The following is a 19,760-nucleotide window of genomic DNA, read 5'->3' on the forward strand; positions in this document are numbered from 1 at the left end:
TGATTAAAAAGCAAAAAGTGGCCATCTATTTGCTCTGCATTGAAACCTCCCTGTTTATAAGAACTACCTAATCACAGAGATTTCAATTCCAGCTTATGTTTCTCTTTTTTAGTGTCTCTTTATTGCATATTAATGGACAGTTCACTTCTAGGAAGAGATAAAAGTGTCCTTGTGCCTCTTGGTGATGTCTTCTCTTAGCAAGAGTAGTATCATGGGCTATGTCCTAGAGACTGCAAAGTCATACCTCCATCTGGGAATATCCTGCTCTAATCTCCTAATTTGTGATATTTATAAATTCCCACTAGAAATTCTTAATTTATAAATCCCACTCCTAATTTATAAATTCTCACTAGAAAACTCATTGTCTTCTGTGTTACCATTTCTCAAACAAATATATCATGATTCTGTTTTGAAAGTCTCATAGCAATATGCTCTTATTATTTAGAGATATGAATGTAAACATCTGAAAAAAGTACTAAAAGAATTGAATGCGATTGCATCTGGAGAGTGGGATGAAGTAGGAGTAAAAGGAAGGACAATTGTTGCCTGGAAAAATTCTGGCCACTTGGCAGCTCACACCTGTAATCCTAGCACTTTGGGAGGTTGAGGTGGGCAGATCACTTGAGGTCAGGAGTTCGAAATCAGCCTGGCCAACATGGTGAAACATGGTCTCTACTAGAAATACAAAAAAATTTAGCCGTGAATGGTGGCAGGGGCCTGTAATCCCAGCTACTTGGGAGGCTGAGGCAGGAGAATCACTTGAACCTGGGGGGCGGATGTTGCAGTCAGCCAAGATCACACCACTGTACTCCAGCCTGGGAGACAGAGTGAGACTGCCTCAAAAACAGAAAAGAGAAAAATATCTTTTAAACTTTCTGATTTTTAAAAATAGCTTACCTAATACCTTGATACCTTTATATGAGAGAGAAGAAAAATGGATGTTAGAAATGAAGTATTACCAAATTTAAAGCTTTTTTCTTTCTTTCTTTTTTTTTTTTTTTGATATGGGGTCTCACTCTGTTACCCAGGCTGGAGTGCAGTGGCAGGATCTCAGCTCGCTGCAACCTCCACCTCCCGGGCTCAAGTGATCATCCCACCTCAGCCTCCTGAGTAGCTGGGACAACAGATATGCACCATCACGCCCGGCCAAGTTTTTATATTTTTGGTAGAGATGGGGGGTTTCACCATGTAACCCAAGCTGATCTCGAACTCCTGAGCTCAAGCAGTCTCCCCACCTCAACTTCCCAAAATGCTAGGATTACAGGCATGAGCCACCATACCTGGCCCCAAATTTAAAGTATTTTTAAATCAGATGGCAGTAGACATTTCAGTTTTATACAGATTTGCCAAGTTTTGGGAATTATTGTATTGTAAAAAGTTCCAATAAAAAATAATTAATATACAAATATTTTAATTGTGTGTTTGTTTGGCCTAAACATTCTTCTTTCTTTCTAATATATTTATAATTATTTTTCCTTGCTAGATTCCAAAAAACAATTCTGGTCTAAAAAGAAAGAAAATTTTCCAGCCTCTTGAAACTTGTCAAATTACTTTTTGAGATATTTATAACAATAGTCACACTTATCAAGTAACAACTGATAGGTACCCTCAAAGTAGGAACATTCTATGATTTTGGGGACCTGCAAATAGCCCATTGTGGATTATCCACATAATGGAAAACAGCAGGAAAAATAATTAGAAAGTTGTATTTGGACCAGTTAAGAAAGGTTTGACTGAGACATATTATATTAATATATTATTTTGGCAATGGGGAGTCATTGTTTTTCTTTGTAAATGAGGAACAAAAAAGGGCATAATTTAACATGAGAGTTTCCTCATGGGTTTCCTTTGTTTTTTCTTTTCAGAACAGAAAAAGAAAGGAGAAGAAGAAACTCATGTCAAATTATGTTGATATAAATGAATTGGAAAGTAAGATTAATAAAGTTATTGGGTTATTGGCTTATCTATTGGTATTAAGAGGTTAAAGCAAAAAGTGAGTGCTTGAAGGTGTTGGTATTGAGGTCAAAACAGTAAGTGAATGCTTGAAGGAATATCTACAAATGGAAAGTTAAAAAAGGAATAAAAATATTTCGCCTTTTTAGCAGGGAGGGTGTAACTAAAAGGTAGAAAGAGTGATATGCAGAGATCTAAGTCAGAAAAAGATCAGTTAAGTTTAGGAACAGAAAAATACATAATATGAGGGCTACTCTGAATGTACACAGTATTATTGTCTTTGGGTAGAATATTGACAAACTAATTTCTAAGATGTCATTGATTGCATCATTAAATTATCTTAATATGGAGTTCAGGCAAGGTAGAGAAACTGATAACCCAAGAAAATAGAGCAAGATTATAAAGATAAGCCATAGTGAGGCAAAATTTGGTTTAGTGAAAAAAAATTATGTGGAAGGGGTAGAAAGAATACGTGGTCAGAGAGGAAATTGTTTCTTGACCATTCGTAAGCAGTTATCTAGACTTTCTAGGACATTTCAACAGTACTGAGAACAGGCTGGGAGTGAAGAGGCCCCGTGCTGAGCAGGCTGTGTGCAGTCTCAGAGCCAGAAAAGCTCTGCTCTCTCTCAAATGGGCCAGGCACATGCAGTCCCAGCCATTCTCCTCAGGCAGCTGGCTGAGAGGTATAGTATCCTTCCTTCACAATGCCCAAAAACCTCAAGAAATAATAAAATTAATAGTCAGGTACATAAAAGTAGATATAAAATAAAATTTTTGAGTACCTCTGCAATATCCCTGGTCCCTTTATTTGGTCCTTTTGTGTCATAATCACATTCCTTTGTGATCTGCTTTGGCAATGAAAAAGTAAGTGTAGAATGCTTTGGAAATTTTAAAAATAGATTTTTTTATCCTCTTTCTTCACACACTTTTGAAATCTATTTCTCTTAAAAACCCTAAGCATCTGGGTAGGAAATGGACAGTTTACTTCAGTTGAATTTACATGTAATAAAAGGTAGCAGTTATAAGTGCACAGCTTGATGAGTTTTGACAAATGTAAATACCCACATAACTGAGAGGTGACAACGTGCTGGCAGTCCTCACAGCCCTCGCTCGCTCTCCGTGCCTCCTCTGCCTGGGCTCCCACTTTGGCGGCACTTGAGGAGCCCTTTAGCCCACTGCTGCACTGTGGGAGCCCCTTTCTGGGCTGGCCTAGGCCGGAGCCGGCTCCCTCAGCTTGCAGGGAGGTGTGGAGGGAGAGGCGCGAGCGGGAACCGGGGCTGCGCGCGGCGCTTGCGGACCAGCTGGAGTTCCGGGTGGGCGTGGCTTGGCGGGCCCCACACTCGGAGCAGCCGGCCGGCCCTGCCGGCCCCGGGCAATGAGGGGCTTAGCACCCGGGCCAGCGGCTGCGGAGGATGTACTGGGTCCCCCAGCAGTTCCAGCCCACCGGCGCTTTGCTCGATTTCTCACCGGGCCTTAGCTGCCTTCCCTCGGGGCAGGGCTCCGGACCTGCAGCCCACCATGCCTGAGCCTCCCACCCACTCCATGGGCTCCTGTGCGGCCTGAGCCTCCCTGACGAGCGCCACCCCCTGCACCGGGGCGCCCAGTCCCATCGACCACCCAAGGGCTGAGGAGTGCGGGCGCAAGGCACCGGGACTTGCAGGCGGCTCCACCTGCAGCCCCGGTGCGGGATCCACTGGGTGAAGCCAGCTGGGCTCCTGAGTCTGGTGGGGATGTGGAGAACCTTTGTGTCTAGCTCAGGGATTGTAAACGCACCAATCAGCGCCCTGTCAAAACAGACCACTCGGCTCTACCAATCAGCAGGATGTGGATGGGGCCAGATATAAAAGCAGGCTGCCCGAGCTAGCAGTGGCAACCGGCTCGGGTCTCCTTACGCACTGTGGAAGCTTTGTTCCTTCGCTCTTTGCAATAAATCTTGCTACTGCTCACACTTTGGGTCCACACTGCCTTTATGAGCTGTAACACTCACCGGGAAGGCCTGCAGCTTCACTCCTGAGCCAGCGAGACCACGAGCCCACCAGGAGGAACGAACAACTCCAGAGGCGCCGCCTTAAGAGCTGTAACCCGGCAAAGGTCTGCAGCTTCACTCCTGAGCCAGGGAGACCACGAACCCACCAGAAGGAAGAAACTCCAAACACATCCGAACATCAGAAGGAACAAACTCCAGACGCGCCACCTTAAGAGCTGTAACACTCACTGGGAGGGTCCGCGGCTTCATTCTTGAAGTCAGTGAGACCAAGAACCCACCAATTCCGGACACATAACCACTATGCTAGACCAGATACAGGAAATCTTCATAACCTCAGGAAGTTCTCCTGTGCCTCTTTGCAGTCACTTCCTCTCCGTGTCTTCCTCCCACCCCCGCCATCTGAGGCAACCACAACTGGAATTTCTATCATATTGTGTTAAATTACTACTTCTAGAAATTCATGTAAATGAAATCAACCAGAATGTGATGTTTTCAGGTAAGGCTTCTTTTATTCTGCATAATATTTTTGTTTCTGTTTTTAAGATTCATTCATGTTGTTTGTGTATCATTAGTTCATTTTATTTTATTTCTGAATACAGATTGAGTATTCCTTATCCTAAATGCTTGGGACTCAAAATGTTTTTTTTTTAATATTTGCATATACATAATGAGAAATCTTGGGGATGGGACCCAAGTCTAAACACAAAATTTGTTTTTGTTTCATACACATCTTATACGCATAGTTTGAATGTAATTTTATGCAATATTTTAAAATAATGTTTTGCATTAAAGTTTTGACTGTGACTCATCACGAGGTCAGATGTGGAGTTTTCCACTTGTGGCATCATGTCAGCGCTCAAACAGTTTTGAATTTTAGAATAGATTTTCAGATTAGAGATGTTCAACCTGTAGTGGGTTTTATTATGAATTTATCACAATCAATTTTTACGCTCATTTGTTGTTAGACATTTATGTTGTTTGCAGTTTGGGCCTATTATAAAGATTTTATGAACATTCTTGGACAAAGCTTTGATACACATATGCTTTTATTTTTCTTGACCAAATAGGAGTGGAATTCCTGAATTATAAGGGAGGTAGTTGCTTAAGTTAATGAGACAGCCTAAGATAACATTTTACAATCTATGGTAGAGGGAATCATGGTCCTCTAAAGATATCCTAATCCCCAGAATTTGAAAATGTTACCTTACATGACAAAAGGGATTTTGCAGATGTGATTAAATTAAGAATCTTGAGATGGGGGATTATCCTGGGTTATCCTTGTGGGCCTAATTTAATTACAAGTAATTCCTTATAAGAAGGAGGCAGGAAAGTCAAAATCAGAGAGAGGAGATATGATGATGGGAGAAAAGGCTGGAATAATACACTTTAAAGATGGAAGAAGGAGCCATAAGCCGAAGAATGCAGGCGGCTTTTAGAACCTAGGGAAGTCAGAGAAATTGATTATGTCCTAAGCCTCCAGAAGAAAGATAGCACTGCTGATACCTTGGTTTTAGACTTCAGACCTGTAACCTCGAAAATTGCATGACAGTAAATTTGTATTGTTATAAGCCCCTAAGAAGTATTTTTATTTTACAGCAGCAAGAAAAAAATAATTAATACACATTGGTACTATCAATGTGTGATAGTTACAATTAAATTGCATCTCATAAAAATTTGAAATGCTCAGTCCATTTAATTTTGGTCATTCTAATGGATATATACTCATATCTCACCGTGGTTTTAATTTGCAGTTTGTATTTACCTAACGAGTATTAATTTTGACTGCATTCTTAGTACTTTCCAAAAATCCATAAATTTTCTTTGGTAAAGTGTCCAATTTAATTATCATTTTTATTATGCTGTTTGCCTTTTATTATTGAATTGAAGTTCCCATTTATTCCATACACTAGTTTTTTTATGATATATGTATGCAAATATTTTCTCTAACTTGTAACTCTTATTTTTCTTTTCTTTTTCTTTTTTGAGACGGAGTTTCACTCTTGTTCCCCAGGCTGGAGTGCAATGGCACGATCTGGGCTCACTGCAACCTCTGCCTCCCGGGTTCAAGCGATTCTCCTGCCTCAGCCTCCTGAGTAGTTGGGATTACAGGCATGTGCCACCAAGCTTGGCTAATTTTGTAGTTTTAGTAGAGACGGGGTTTCTCCATGTTGGTCAGGCAGGTCTCCAACTCCCAACCTCAGGTGATCTGCCTTCCTCACCCTCCCAAAGTGCTAGGATTACAGGTGTGAGACACTGCATCTGGCCTTATTTTCTAAATAACATATTTTAATGAGCAGAACATTTTAATATTGTTGTAGTTTAATTAGTCCTTACTTTTTATGGTTAATTCTGTTTGAGTTTTCTTTTCTTTTCTTTTTTTTTTCTTTTTTTTTTTTTTTTTTTGAGATGGAGTCTCACTCTGTCACCCAGGCTGGAGTGCAGTGGCTCAATATCGGCTAACTGCAACCTCCGCCTCCCGGGTTCAAGTGATTCTTCTTCCTTAGCCTCCGAAGTAGCTGGGACTACAGGTGTGCGCCACCACGCCGGGCTAATTTTTGTATTTTTAGTAGAGACAGGGTTTCACCATATTGGCCAGGCTTGTCTCAAACTGCTGACCTCGTGGTCCACCTGCCTTGGCTTCCCAAAATGCTGGGATTACAGTGTGAACCACCCCACCCGGCCTAATGCTGTTTGAGTCCTAAGAAATATTTATCACTTCAGTATAAAAATACGTTCTCTATTTTTTATGTTGACTTTTTTATAGTTTTAGCTTAAATGTTTAGGTGTATGATATAATTAATGAAATGTTGTTCATCATTTGATGTAAAGATTGAGGTTTATTATTATTATTTTTTCATTTTTTATTTGGTTACAAAATTATGTTCTTTAGTGGTGATTTGTGAGATTTTGGTGCACCCATCACCTGAGCAGTATGTGCTGCACCCAATTTGTAGTATTTTATCCCTCACCCCCCTTCCCACACTTTCCCCCAGAGTCCCCAAAGTTTATTGCATCATTCTTATCCCTTTGCATCCTCATAGCTTAGCTCCCACTTATGAGTGAGAATATACGATGTTTGGTTTTCCATTCCTGAGTTTTTTCACTTAGAATAATAGTCTCCAATCCCATCTAGGTCACTGTGAATGCCATTAATTGGTTCCTTTTTATGGCTGAGTAGTATTCCATCATAGATATATACTACAGTTTCTTTATCCACTAGTTGATTGTTGGGTATTTGGGCTGTTTCCACAGTTTTGCAATTGCTTATTGTGCTGCTATAAACATGAGTGTGCAAATATCTTTCTGACATAATGACTTCTTTTCCCCTGGGTAGATACCCAGTAGTGGGATTGCTGGATCAAATAGTGGTTCTACTTTTAGTTCTTTAAGGAATCTCCAAGCTGTTTTCCGTAGTAGTTGTAGTAGTTTACATTCCCTCCAGCAGTGTAGAAGTGTTCCCTGTTCACTGCATCCACATCAACATCTATTATCTTTTGATTTGTTGATTATGGCCATTCTTGCAGGAGTGAGGTGGTGGTAGCGCATGGTGGTTTTGATTTGCATTTCCCTGATCATTAGTGATGTTGAGCATTTTTTCAGATACCTGTTGTCCATTTGCATATCATCTTTTGAGAATTGTCTATTCATGTCCTTAGCCCACTTTTAGATGGGATTGTTTGTTTTTTTTCTTGCTAATTTGTTTGAGTTTTGGGTAGATTTTTGATATTCGTCCTTTATCAGATGTGTAGATTGTGAAGATTTTCTCCCACTCTGAGGTTTGTCTGTTTACTCTGCTGACTGTTCCTTTTGCTGTGCACAAGCTCTTTAGTTTAATTAAGTCCCACCTATGTATCTTTGTTTTTGTTACATCCACTTTTGAGTTCTTTGTTATAAAATATTTGCCTAAACCAATGTCTAGAAGGATTTTTCTGATGTTATCTTCAAAAATTGTTATAGTTTCATGTCTTAGATTTAAATCCTTGATCCATCTTGAGTTGATTTTTGTATAAGGCGAGAAATGAGAATCCAGCTTCATTCTCCTACATGTGGCTAGCCAATTATCCCAGCCCCATTTGTTGAATAGGGTGTCCTTTCCCCACTTTATGTTTTTGTTTGCTTTGTCAAAGATTAGTTGGCTGTAAGTATTTGGCTTTTATTTCTCTGTTCTCTATTCTGTTCCATTGATCTATGAGCCTATTTTTATGCCAGTACCATGCTGTTTTGTTGACTATGGCCTTATAGTATAGTTTGAAATCAGTTAATGTGATGCCTCCAGATTTGTTCTTTTTGCAAGTTGAGAATCAAATAAAGAACTCAACTCCTTTTACAAGCTGCAAAAAATAAAAATAAAATCCTTAGGAATGTAACTAGTCAAGGAAGTGACAGACCTCTACAAGAAAAACTATAAAACACGCTGAAAGAAATCATAGATGACACACAAATGGAAACACATCCCATGGTCATGGATGGGTAGAATCGATATTGTAAAAATGACCATACTGCCAAAAGCAGTCTACAAATTCAATGCAATTCCCACCAAAATACCACCATCATTTTCACAGAACTAGGAAAAATAATCTTATAGTTCATATCAAACCAATAAAGAGCCCACATAGCCAAAGAGGTTTATTATTTTTCACAGAGCTTTCTAGTTGTTCCAGGACTCTGTTGAAAAGACTTTTCTTTCCTCATTAAATTACCTTGCTGCTTTCATTAAAAATAAATTGACTGGCTGTATATGGTTCTATTTCTGGACTCTCAGTTTGGTTCAATTGATCTATTTTTGTTCATTCTTAATTTATAAAATATTGATCTTGTATATTACAAACTTATTTTTAGCAGCACTTTTTGATGAGTATAAAATTTTAATTATGTAGAAATTCAATTTATACAGTTTTTTTCCTGATATTGTTTTCATATTTTTTTTTTCATATTTTTAACCATACCTAAGAAAAGTGTTTCTACTCTAAGGCAGTGAAAATACTCTCTTATTTTTTACAGAGTCCTTAGGCTTTTCTGTATAACATCTCATCATTTGTAAATCAGAGTAGTTTTATCTATGCCTTTCTAAACTTTGTCTTATTTGTTTTTCTTACTGTATTTCATTGGCTAATGCTTCTAGCACATTATTGAAAATAAATGGTGAGAGGAAATATCCTTGCCTTGTTCCCAATATTGGAAAGCCTTCAGTAGTTTGCCGTTAAGTTCAATATTTTAATTGGAATTTCTTTTTAAGTTGCCCTTTAACAGGTTGAGTAAGTTCTCGTCTACTCCTACCTAACATTTTAAAAGAGAATGTGTTGATTCATTGTGAAATCCCTTTTCTGTGTTTATGGAGATTACCACAAGTTTAATCGTCTTTATTCTACTGATTCTTTTCTTCAATATTCTATTAATTACATAATATTACATAATGCGATTTTTGAATGTTGGATCAACTTTATATTCTTGTGGTAACTCGTCCTTGGTATATTATTATTCTTACATATTGCTACATTTAGTTTTCTACTATTTTGTTGAGGACATATTTGTTATATTTATAGGGAATATTGATCTATGATTTTCTTTCTGTGATTTCAAAAATCAAATAAAATTCTTGCAAGGTTTTGATATTAATGTTATGTGACTTTATAAAACTTTTTGGGACTAGTCCTCTCCTCCTGTGTTTTTATAGTTTACATAAGTTGGTTTTTTCTCCTCTTAAACATAATGTACTAATAAAACATCTGAGTTGGCATTAGGATTTTATTTTTTAAAAGTTTTAAGTGTGAATTCAGTATTTCAAAGTAGATATAGAATTAATCAGATTTTCTGTTTTTCTTTTATTTTTTGGTAAATTGTATTGTTCAAAGATATTTTCTATTCTATCTAAATTGTTGGATTTATTGGCATATAGTTTTAAAATGATTTCTTATTTTTCTCTTTAATGTTTGTATGATCTTTAATGTTCTGAAATATACCTCTTTCATTTCTGGCAATTTATGTGTGAGTGTATTTTTCTTTACCAATTTTGCTAGCTGGAATATTCCATAAATGTCAATTAGATCAAGTTAATTGACAGTGCTGTTTAGGTTATCTACATCCTTGATGATGTTCAGCTGGTTGTGTTTATCAGCTATTGACAGAGAGGTGTTGAAGGCTTGAGATAGTCACAATTTCACTTTCCAGTTTCTTGTGTTATTGCTGCCAGGCTCCATCATGATTACTGTTTCCTTCCCCTTACCAGAGCCATGTGGGGGTCCTTCCAGATCCTCACTCTGAGAACTTGGTAGGGTTTTTGGAGGGAAAGCCTGCAAAAATGTGGGCCCTTCGTAAGACTGCAACAAACAGGGGTTTCTCACTTAGACTAATCTGCACTCAGCTTCTAGCAATTTGTCAAAATCACTATTTAAGTTTCTTTCCACTTGAGGCATCAGTAGCTTCTGCTCCAGATAAGCAGATCTTGATTGCCATATTTCTCTGAATATCTTTAGATTTAATGGTGATATTTTCCATGTGACTTCAGGCCTCTGATGAGTCCATGAAAATATTTTGGTTTTCAATTTGTTCAGCTTCTTTGTGTTGTAAGGTCAGGAGTGACAACTTGCATGGCATTTACTTGTCATGAGGACAACCAGGAGATCTCAATTACCTTTTAAGACATATTTTGAAATGAAAAATATTTTATATTTCACATATATTTTTCTTGTCTGGTGCTCTTCTTTCTTTTGTATAAATCCAAATTTTCACCTGGCATAGTTTTCCTTATGTGTTAGAAATGTTTGTTGTTGTTGTTGTTAATCATTTGATGTAGTATAGGTTGGCTTAGCATAAATTATCTTAGCTGCTGTTTGTCTAAGTCTTATTTCTCTTCATTTTTGAAGATTGTTTTTTTCGTTTCTCACTAGAAAGTTTTCTATATGTCTTTTTTGTCAAGGTGTTTTAAAATTTTTCCTTTATTATTATTTATATATTTTTAGAACTTTGATTACAACCTGCTTTTATGTGGTTTCTTTGAATTTGTTCTACTTGCGGTCCACTGAGAGTTTTGACTTAGTGAATGTATTAGTCCATTTTGCATGACTATAAAGGAATACTTGAGGCTATGGTAATTTATAAAGAACAGGATTTATTTGGTTGATGGTTCTGCAGACTGTACAAGAAACATGGTGCTGGCATCTGCTTCTGGTGAGGGCCCTTTTCCAGTTTTACCACCTCCAACACTGGGGATCACATTTGAACATGCAATTTAGAGGGGACAAATGTCCAGACCATATCAGTAGGTTTATACTTTTCATTAAATCTAGAATTTTGTTTGTATTATTTCTTCTAATACGTTTTCATCCTTTTTCCTCTCTTTCTGGGATTCTGATTATACATGTGTTAGACTTTTTGATATCACTACATAAGTATAAAGGCTCTGGTAACTGTTAGTCTTTTTTCTCTATATGTTTCAGTTTTTAAAATTTCTATTAATATGTCTATGTTTATTGATATTTTCTCTGAAAGTTTCTATTATCCCATCAAATTAATGTTACATTCTGTATATTGTATTTTTTGTATTTTATGCTTTTTAAAAAAGTTTCATTTCTCTCCTATTCTTTAGTCCTTAAACATATTTTTAGTAGCTTTTTAAAAAAGGTTTTATCTGTTAATTCTATGTCTGTCGTGTCTGCATCTATTTCTATGAACTGACTTGCTTTTGGTTAGGGTCACATTTTCCTTTTTACATTACTAGGAATGTTTGACTTAACATTGAATACTGTGAATATTACATGGTGGAATGATTGGTTTTGTTATCTTTTAGAAAAATATTAGACCTTCTTCTGACAGGTGATTAAATTATTTGGCAATCGGTTTGATCTTTCCAAGTTTTCTTTTTCATTTAGTTATGGTGGGGCTATAAAAGCTTTTGATGCAGAGCTAGATCAGCACTACTACCAAGTCATGCTTTTCCTGAGGATTTTATTTAGTGTCCTTCATGTTAAACAAAGAATGTCCATTTTGATGGACTGGAACTCAGTTTCTGGTAGCCTAATACGAGCTTTGAAAATCATTTAGCTTACTGCTTCCTAGTCATTTTTTTTCTTGGCCACATGAAGTTTCATCTTACATATGCATGGCATAGAATTTAGCATAAAAAATGGAATCTTGACCAACTTTCTGGACCTCTTTCTCGGTTTAGCACCCTCATCTTCATTACTCTGAATTTCCAACTTTCTTATCCTCCCTCAACTGTGATATCTCACTCCTAAATTAATAATAACTTAATAAAGTAAAATAATGCTTTACTTGTCTTACTGTGCACTGAGCTCTAAAATGTTATCTTTAGGCAGGAAACCAGGATAATTGTAGATAGATCTCTTCTCCTTTTCCTCTTCTTCTTAGGGATCACAATTCTACAATGATTGTTGTTCAATCTGAAAAAAAAAGTTGTCTAAATATTTTGCCTAGTTTTTTCGATGGTTACAGCAGTAAGGGAAGAACACTCCCAGTTATTTCACCATAGTCAGAAGCAGAAGTAATAGAGTTATGTTAAAGTTATTTTCTACTAATTCCAAAATCTGTGTCATTTACCTGCTTCTATTGAATACTGTTCTGTATACGATTAGTTATTACATTTTCCCTTGTATTTTTATTTCTAGCGCTTATTCGTTTATGTTCACTTTTTAAAGTTGAAGAGACTGAATTTTGTTATCTGCCTCTAAGTTGTAAAGATTTTTTTTTTTTTTGGAACAGCCTGTTATTAGTACAGTATCTTGATTTTACTGAGGGTTAGCTTTAACTTTTACTTTACATAGGTCAATCTATTTCTCTTTTGTCTGTTAATCCTAGAGAGATACCCTTAGTTCTGAGATACGGGTTTTAATTATAAGGCATAACCCTTCTGGGAATTCAGTGGAAAGCCTGAGATGGCTACTAGGGCCCTATAATTTGGCCTAAAATGAACATCAAACTCTTTCTTGCCAGCAGCAATTGAAATCTGTGCTAAGATCTTTCTTCCTTAAGAGCTGTTGTTTCTCATGAACTGTATGGAGTCTCATCCTATGTATGAACAATTCAGATGTCAGCCACAAATTTACGTACAAGCTTATGTGACAGTTTATACTCACGCTTTATGTTCTCTTCTTTGTCCAGAATTTCTTTCCTTAAATTCCAGATTCTTACTCAGGACTAAACTTCAACATCTGACTGCCTAGTTCAATAGGACTGCAGCTTTCTTCTTGATCTCTATCTTCTACATGGCTATGACTCTAATTTTCTTTAGACAATCTGAGTATGATCTTCTTATTCAATAGTCATAGTGGCTCTAATTTTACCTTTTTCTTTTTGTTCCTCAGTTCCTTTCAACTGTTGTTTTACATATATTATCCTGAGTTTATGATTGCTTTTATTAATACTAGGAAATTTATAGTAGGAAATAGTAGTATGATATAATTTATATAGTCTACTCTACCATTACTGGAAGGGCTAGAAGAAAAAGAGTTATTTATTTATTTATTTTTTGATTAGTTAAACTTTATCAGATGTGTGCACATACATTATTCCCTATTTGCTTTTTTAAATATTAACATTTCTGACATTGATTACAATGTGGGACCTCTCTCAAATGACCATTTAGGCATTTTGGCTGTAAGTGTTCTTTAGGAAATAACAGTTAGTAGTGATTCAGTACCATTTCTCAAGATGTGTTTGGGGAAGTCAGTTTATTGGAGTGTGATGAGTTAGTCACAAGTAAAAATAAGGATGTCTACGAGTGGACCATACCATTAATGAATGCACTATCTTTATTCAGTTCTTGAGCTCTGAGAATACTCCTCAGGCTTTGTTGAACATATATATGTTTTCTTGCTTCCTCCCCTTTATTCACTCAACACTGATTGTGTGCCTACTATGTACCCATGTATTGTTCCAGATGCTGTGGATCAACTGAGCAAACCCAGAATATACCCTGGAGTATATAGTACAATGGCAGAGAAAGACAAAAATGTATATGCATACACACACATACACACACAAACACACACACACATAGGTTTAATTTCTGAATATATATATATATATATATATATATTCAGATATTCACCATGAAATAGTAGATCAGTGTGAAGGTCTAGAGTTGCAGGGGCTATTTTAATTGTAGTAGTAAATAGGGCCTCTCTGGCAAGAGAATATTTAAACAGAGATCTGACTATAGTGTGTGTAGGGGGAAGAGCCATGTAAATAACTGTAGAAGAGCATTCTAGGTTCTAGAAATAATGAGAACAAAGGCCTTGAGGATACACTGTAATCAACATGCTCAAAAACAAAACAAAACAAAAACCATAAAGGCCAGTGGGATTGAAGCAGAATAAATGGAGAGGATAGTGGTAGAGACCTTAGAAATAGGAAAGGCTAGATGATGTTGACCATGATAAGAGATTTAGATCATAATAAGAGTAAAAGAAGCCAAAGAGCTTTAAAAGCATGAGAGTGGTGGGATCTTACTTGTATTTTTAGCAAATTATTCTGACTGCTGTTGGAGAATAGATTGAATATGAGCAACATGGAATAAGGAGATTATTTCTGTAGGACACTATTACAGTAGACTATCCAAGAGATGATGGTAGCTTTACCCAAAATGAAAGTCCTGAAAGTAAGTTGTTTTCTTTCCCAAACCCTTAGCCTGCTTCAAAGGGATGCTTGCTTTATTTTTTTAATGATATAATAGAGTCAAGTCAATGTGTGCCCCCTCTTAAAAGCACCAGGAGTGAAAAATAGCAATATGCATCTCATAGAAAATAAAATTGCTTTACCGTTAATAGACCTTTCGAATAGGACTCTAGTTTAAATAAAATTGGGATAAGGAAATGCAAACCTATTAGTAAAGATACAAGGCATTCATTTTAAAGCTAATCACATATAATGAAACACATATGAAGGCTGTTCCCAGTAGCCTTAGTGAGACAAAAAACATCATCTCCTTGTGCTGTAAAAATAGCTATAAGATTTCCATGTGAACAAATTTTCAACTATAGGATGGTGCAAAAGTAATTGTGTTTTTGCCATTTCTTTCCTTAAATTCCAGTTGCCATTACTTTTAATTTCTTTTCTTAAATTCCAATTTTTTTTTGCCATTACTTTTAATGGCAGAAACCTCAATAGAAAATACTAGAAAATATTTGAAACCTGTAACAATAGTATAAAAAAAACTATACGTTTGTGCAAAAGTAATTGCAGTTTTTGTCGTCCATTAATTTTTAATGGCAAAAACTGCAATTACTTTTTCACCAACCTAATACTTTTTGTTGATGCTTTACTCTGAGGGGCTTGAATCTTGGGTTTTAGCTTAGTATTTAGTTTGGTATCTAAATAGGCAGAGAATGCTATAATTGGAGACCTGTCTGACATCTTCCTATCCGGGGATAAATGATTTTGTAAGTGAAGGAGGCAAAGGAGCAGTGATATCAAGTAGAATCAGCAAACATTTATGGAATACCCTCCAGGTTTAAGCACAAGAACAGTGTCACAGGAAAATACAAATATTAGCTCTAATAGAAATAGGTCTTAATTTTTATCCTTTAAAGAAAACAGAGGTGCTCCTTTGTCAAAAATCTAGGTGGTCATTTAGCTCCATGTGAAAAATAAATGTTAGTATTTTCTACTTAGATTTGTTCTCCTAATTTCCATCCCGTAGACCGAAGGCATGTGCTGTTTGGAATATAATCTAATTATTGGTTTACGTAGTCTATCAGTATGTTTATCTGTAAACTTTATTTCAAAGAGATCACATCGCAGAGTGGTGAAACCCTCAGCTATTGTTAATGGTAATGTTTGCTATGGGGAGAAGAAGCTGTTGAAACTCACTTTTATGATTCCTCGCCAGCCTTCAGCTTCTCCTGTCACTTCCATGCTGAGAAAAGAGAAAACATTAGCTGATCTCTAGAGAGAATCTCAGATAAGACTGTTGGGGTGAGGGTAGACTGAGCACAATTTTCTGTCTTATCTTTCATCTCAGATACCTCACCCAATTTCTCATCAAAGGGTCTCTTTGAACATTTCTTCACACAAAAAGAAAACAGCAGTTGCTTTCTTTGTGGGTGCTAGATTTTCATAACATAGGCAGGGTATGATTACTTCTCATGTGTTTTTATTTTCTAGCCTTATGAAAAAAGTTTGCAAGTTTTACATTTTCATAAATAGGCCTGGGATTTTTGCAAAATATGCAGCTTATTTTATGTAGTTTTTCAGTTCTATTAGATGTTACTCAGTTACATTTTTTTTACTTTAGATCTCGTGAAAGAGAAAGGTGAGATGTTAAGAGAATACACTCAGAGACTTATTAAGGCAGTAAAATAATGAAAGCTTGCCACAAGAAATGCTGGGGTAAATGTATAACACACACACACACACAAAGACCAATAGGAGAATAGAAAAATGAACGAAATTAAGTATAGATATATGTATTGTTATCTTCTTGGGTTTGTTTGGATTTTGTTTTCACATTTGGCTAGATATTCTTTCTCCAGCTCCTTAATTATTACATGATGTATTAATGAGTAACTATTATTTATTTCTGGAAAATAAGCAAGAAAATTAGCCTTTTGTTGTATAGTAAAGTGGATATAATGGTTGGAAGTAGGTAAAGGAAAATACCTCTCTACTTTCCTCTTGTTTAGATAATATTTAATTCTTTTGAAAGTCTATTAAGTAGATAATTACTAGTATTTAGCTTCTTCCTGTCTTACAGACCTAAAATGTGATCTATAGATGAGTAACAAAAACATTACTTGGGAGCATATTGGAAATACAGAATCTCTGGATCCACCCTAGAACAACTGATTCAGAGGTTCTGAGATGGGTCCAGGAATCTGTTTTATCAAATTCTCTACATAGTTCTATGTATGATAAATTTTGAGAAACTCTGTTGTAGTTGTGTAGAAGTGCCCAAGATTTTGCATTTCTGAGAAGTTTCCAGGTGATCTATAAATGATAAAAGAAATAATCTTCCTCTAGTATATAACCAAGATTATGTATAATAATCTGTGCTTATTCTAAAATGCTGCTGGTCCATAATTCTGAGATTTTTTTTCTTTTCTTTTTCCCTTTTTCCCATATGAAAATAAATGCAAGTTAAAAGCTGTTGGAACTCCCCAAATACTTTATGTCTTAAGGGAGATGTGTCTATGATCTGAGTCATATATGGTTACAATTTCTGTTTCTCATATTATAGATTAACTAGCTTTCTTATTTTTCTTGCTCTGTACAATGACTAGAGAGAATTAAATGACATCAGGGACAAAAACCTCCTGCCTTTTTAATTAATGATTCTTGTTATAGATTAACTTCCCCTTTGTTGTCCTGCTTTGCTTAGACCAGATGACAGAAAACCCATGGCTATTAGACCCCCTGTAAAAGGTGTTAAATGTACCCTTTCCAAAAGGAAACGCTGCCTATAACGAATCAAATTGCTGTAACTACTTGTCAGTCTTGTATAAAAAATGTCTGGATAAAGAAAATGTGGCACGTATACACCATGGAATACTATGCAGCCATAAAAAGTGATGAGTTTATGTCCTTTGCAGGGACATAAATGAAGCTGGAAACCATCATTCTCAGCAAACTAACACAGGAACAGAAAACCAAACACCACAAGTTCTTACTCATAAGTGGGAGTTGAACAATGAGAACACATGGACACAGGGAGGGGAATATCACACACTGGAGCCTGTCGGTGGGTGGGGGACTAGGGGAGGGATAGCATTAGAAGAAATACCCAACGTAGATGACGGGTTGATGGGTACAGCAAGCCACCATGGCACGTGTATAGCTATGTAACAAACCTGCCCGTTCTGCACATGTGTCCCAGAACTTAAAATATTTTTTAAAAATGTTGTCATCCTGCTAAAAACTCTTGTCTCTGCCTCTATAAATGAAGCCTTAACTTTCCTACTTTAGATCACTGGCTCCATTCCTTTGAGTTGCTCTTCAGGGTGGTTCATCCTCACAGTTTTCACTTGAATAAACTCCCTTTAAATTGGATTCTAACCCTTTTGATTACTTTAGGTTGACACTCTCAGTGTTTACCTAATACCACTCTCTCTTTCCCGTACATGTGCACTGGTTTACTGAATGACTGGTATCCAACAAGCTACAAATATAATTTTTGTAAAATTTTTCCAATGACTACTGCCTTCAAACCAGCAGCAGGAAAAAAAATCTCTTTTTCCTGGATCCATAATGATATTCAAGATAGATTCTGCACCTTTACTTGTCTATAGCCTAAGTCCCATCAGTAGGAGAAGCAATTTGGTTATACTTCCCAACCTCTAGTTCTAGCTCCTCTGGGATGGGAGAGAAAGATGGAAAAAAAGGTCTCCTATACTGGGCTACATTTTGGTAATGTGGAGAAATCCCTAGTTTCTTATGTCTCTGTTAAGTATATTTTCTGATAGTAGAGTCATTGAACTGCCGAAGTTCTTTTTTCTTCAAGGGCACCACAAGTCTTGGGTGCTGTGGAGAATTGCTGATTATTTTTTTCTCCCAGACATATAATACCTTGGTCCCTTATTGTTCAATTGATGTAGCCTTTTCCAATAGGCTTCTTCAGTACACTCTATGAAGGAAGCAGACGTAAGAGTCTATGTACGAGTGAAACTTACCCTAGGATACCCACTTCAGGTTCACACAACAATTCTCTCACTATGTACCATTTTGACATTAGAACCTTGGAGAATCTGGAGCTTTCTGCAGGTGAGCCAATATTAAGCCATAAAGTAACAGATCTGGTCTTGTTCGTCTTACTGATTATCTGATGACATCGTCTGAGGTTGAGGATGTACAAAGTCAACAAGTTCTTCTTGATTCTTCTCCCTACCCACCAGTACGTAGACAGCTTATTAACAAGCATTGAGGAAATTATCAGCAGGTACTATCAAGCTTTCTGTAGAGAATCTGGTTACTCAATGCCTCTTTGACCTTGTATATAATATATGTTAATTGTCAGGCAACCAGAAATATCCAATTACACACATGTTGTCCTCTTCTTTGCTACCAACATACCCTCAGCCCATCACTTACTCTATGGGTAGCCCCTGCTGCTATTTAAATTTTACTGGTTAAGGAGAGAATTGCAATGGAAGCAGCCACATTTAAAAACCTTAGCCTGAAGTATTTGTAACTCAGATGACTATAAAGTGGTCTGTGGCAGAAAAGAGTTCTGAGGGCAGAAAACAAAAATCATCACTATCTTCCTCTTTGAGAAACTAATTTTAGAATAAGCACAGATTATTGTACACAATCTTGGTTATATCCTAGAGGAAGATTATTTCTTTTATCATTTATAGATAGCATTTGAGATCACAAAAGTATATTAGACATTGTTATGCCCAATCCCTTTATTTGAAAAAAGAATCGAATATAGTCATGCATTAATTTAATTGACATTTATTAGGTGGCTTCTATTGGCGAAAGACTGAATTTTAATAGGCTTTCTTGAGAAACCTTAGTGGTTAATGAAGGAGTTTACCACCTGGGCTCTGCCTGCTTCATGGGGTCAAGTTTAAAAAATGTTTCCAAGTGACACTCTGTCTTTGTCAATTTTCTGTTACTTATGACAGAATACCTGAAACTAAGCAATGGATAAAGAAGAAAAACGTATTTCATGTAATTCTGGAGGCTTGGGAAATCAAGGTCAAGAGGGAACATCTGGTGAGAGCCTTCTTGCTGGTGAGGACTCTTAGCATCTTAAGGTGGCACAGGGCACCACAGGATGAGGGGGCTGTGCGAGCTTTCTCAAATCTCTCTTCCTCTTATAAAGCCACCAGTTCCAATCCCGGGATAACCCACTGATTCATTAATC

General features: G+C 36.7%; 1 long non-coding RNA gene across 2 annotated transcripts in view; it reads left to right on the forward strand.

The window, feature by feature from the left end:
• Positions 1 to 3,821: 3,821 nt before the first annotated feature.
• The window catches only part of LOC105373645 (uncharacterized), a 66,805-nt gene continuing 50,866 nt past the window's right edge, over positions 3,822 to 19,760 (forward strand). For both annotated transcript variants that reach the window (XR_923378.3, XR_007088681.1), the window contains exon 1: positions 3,822 to 4,436. This is a non-coding gene — a long non-coding RNA (uncharacterized LOC105373645). The remainder of the gene's footprint in view (positions 4,437 to 19,760) is intronic.

Source organism: Homo sapiens, chromosome 2 (genome assembly GCF_000001405.40).
Source record: "Homo sapiens chromosome 2, GRCh38.p14 Primary Assembly".
Lineage (NCBI taxonomy): Eukaryota > Metazoa > Chordata > Mammalia > Primates > Hominidae > Homo > Homo sapiens.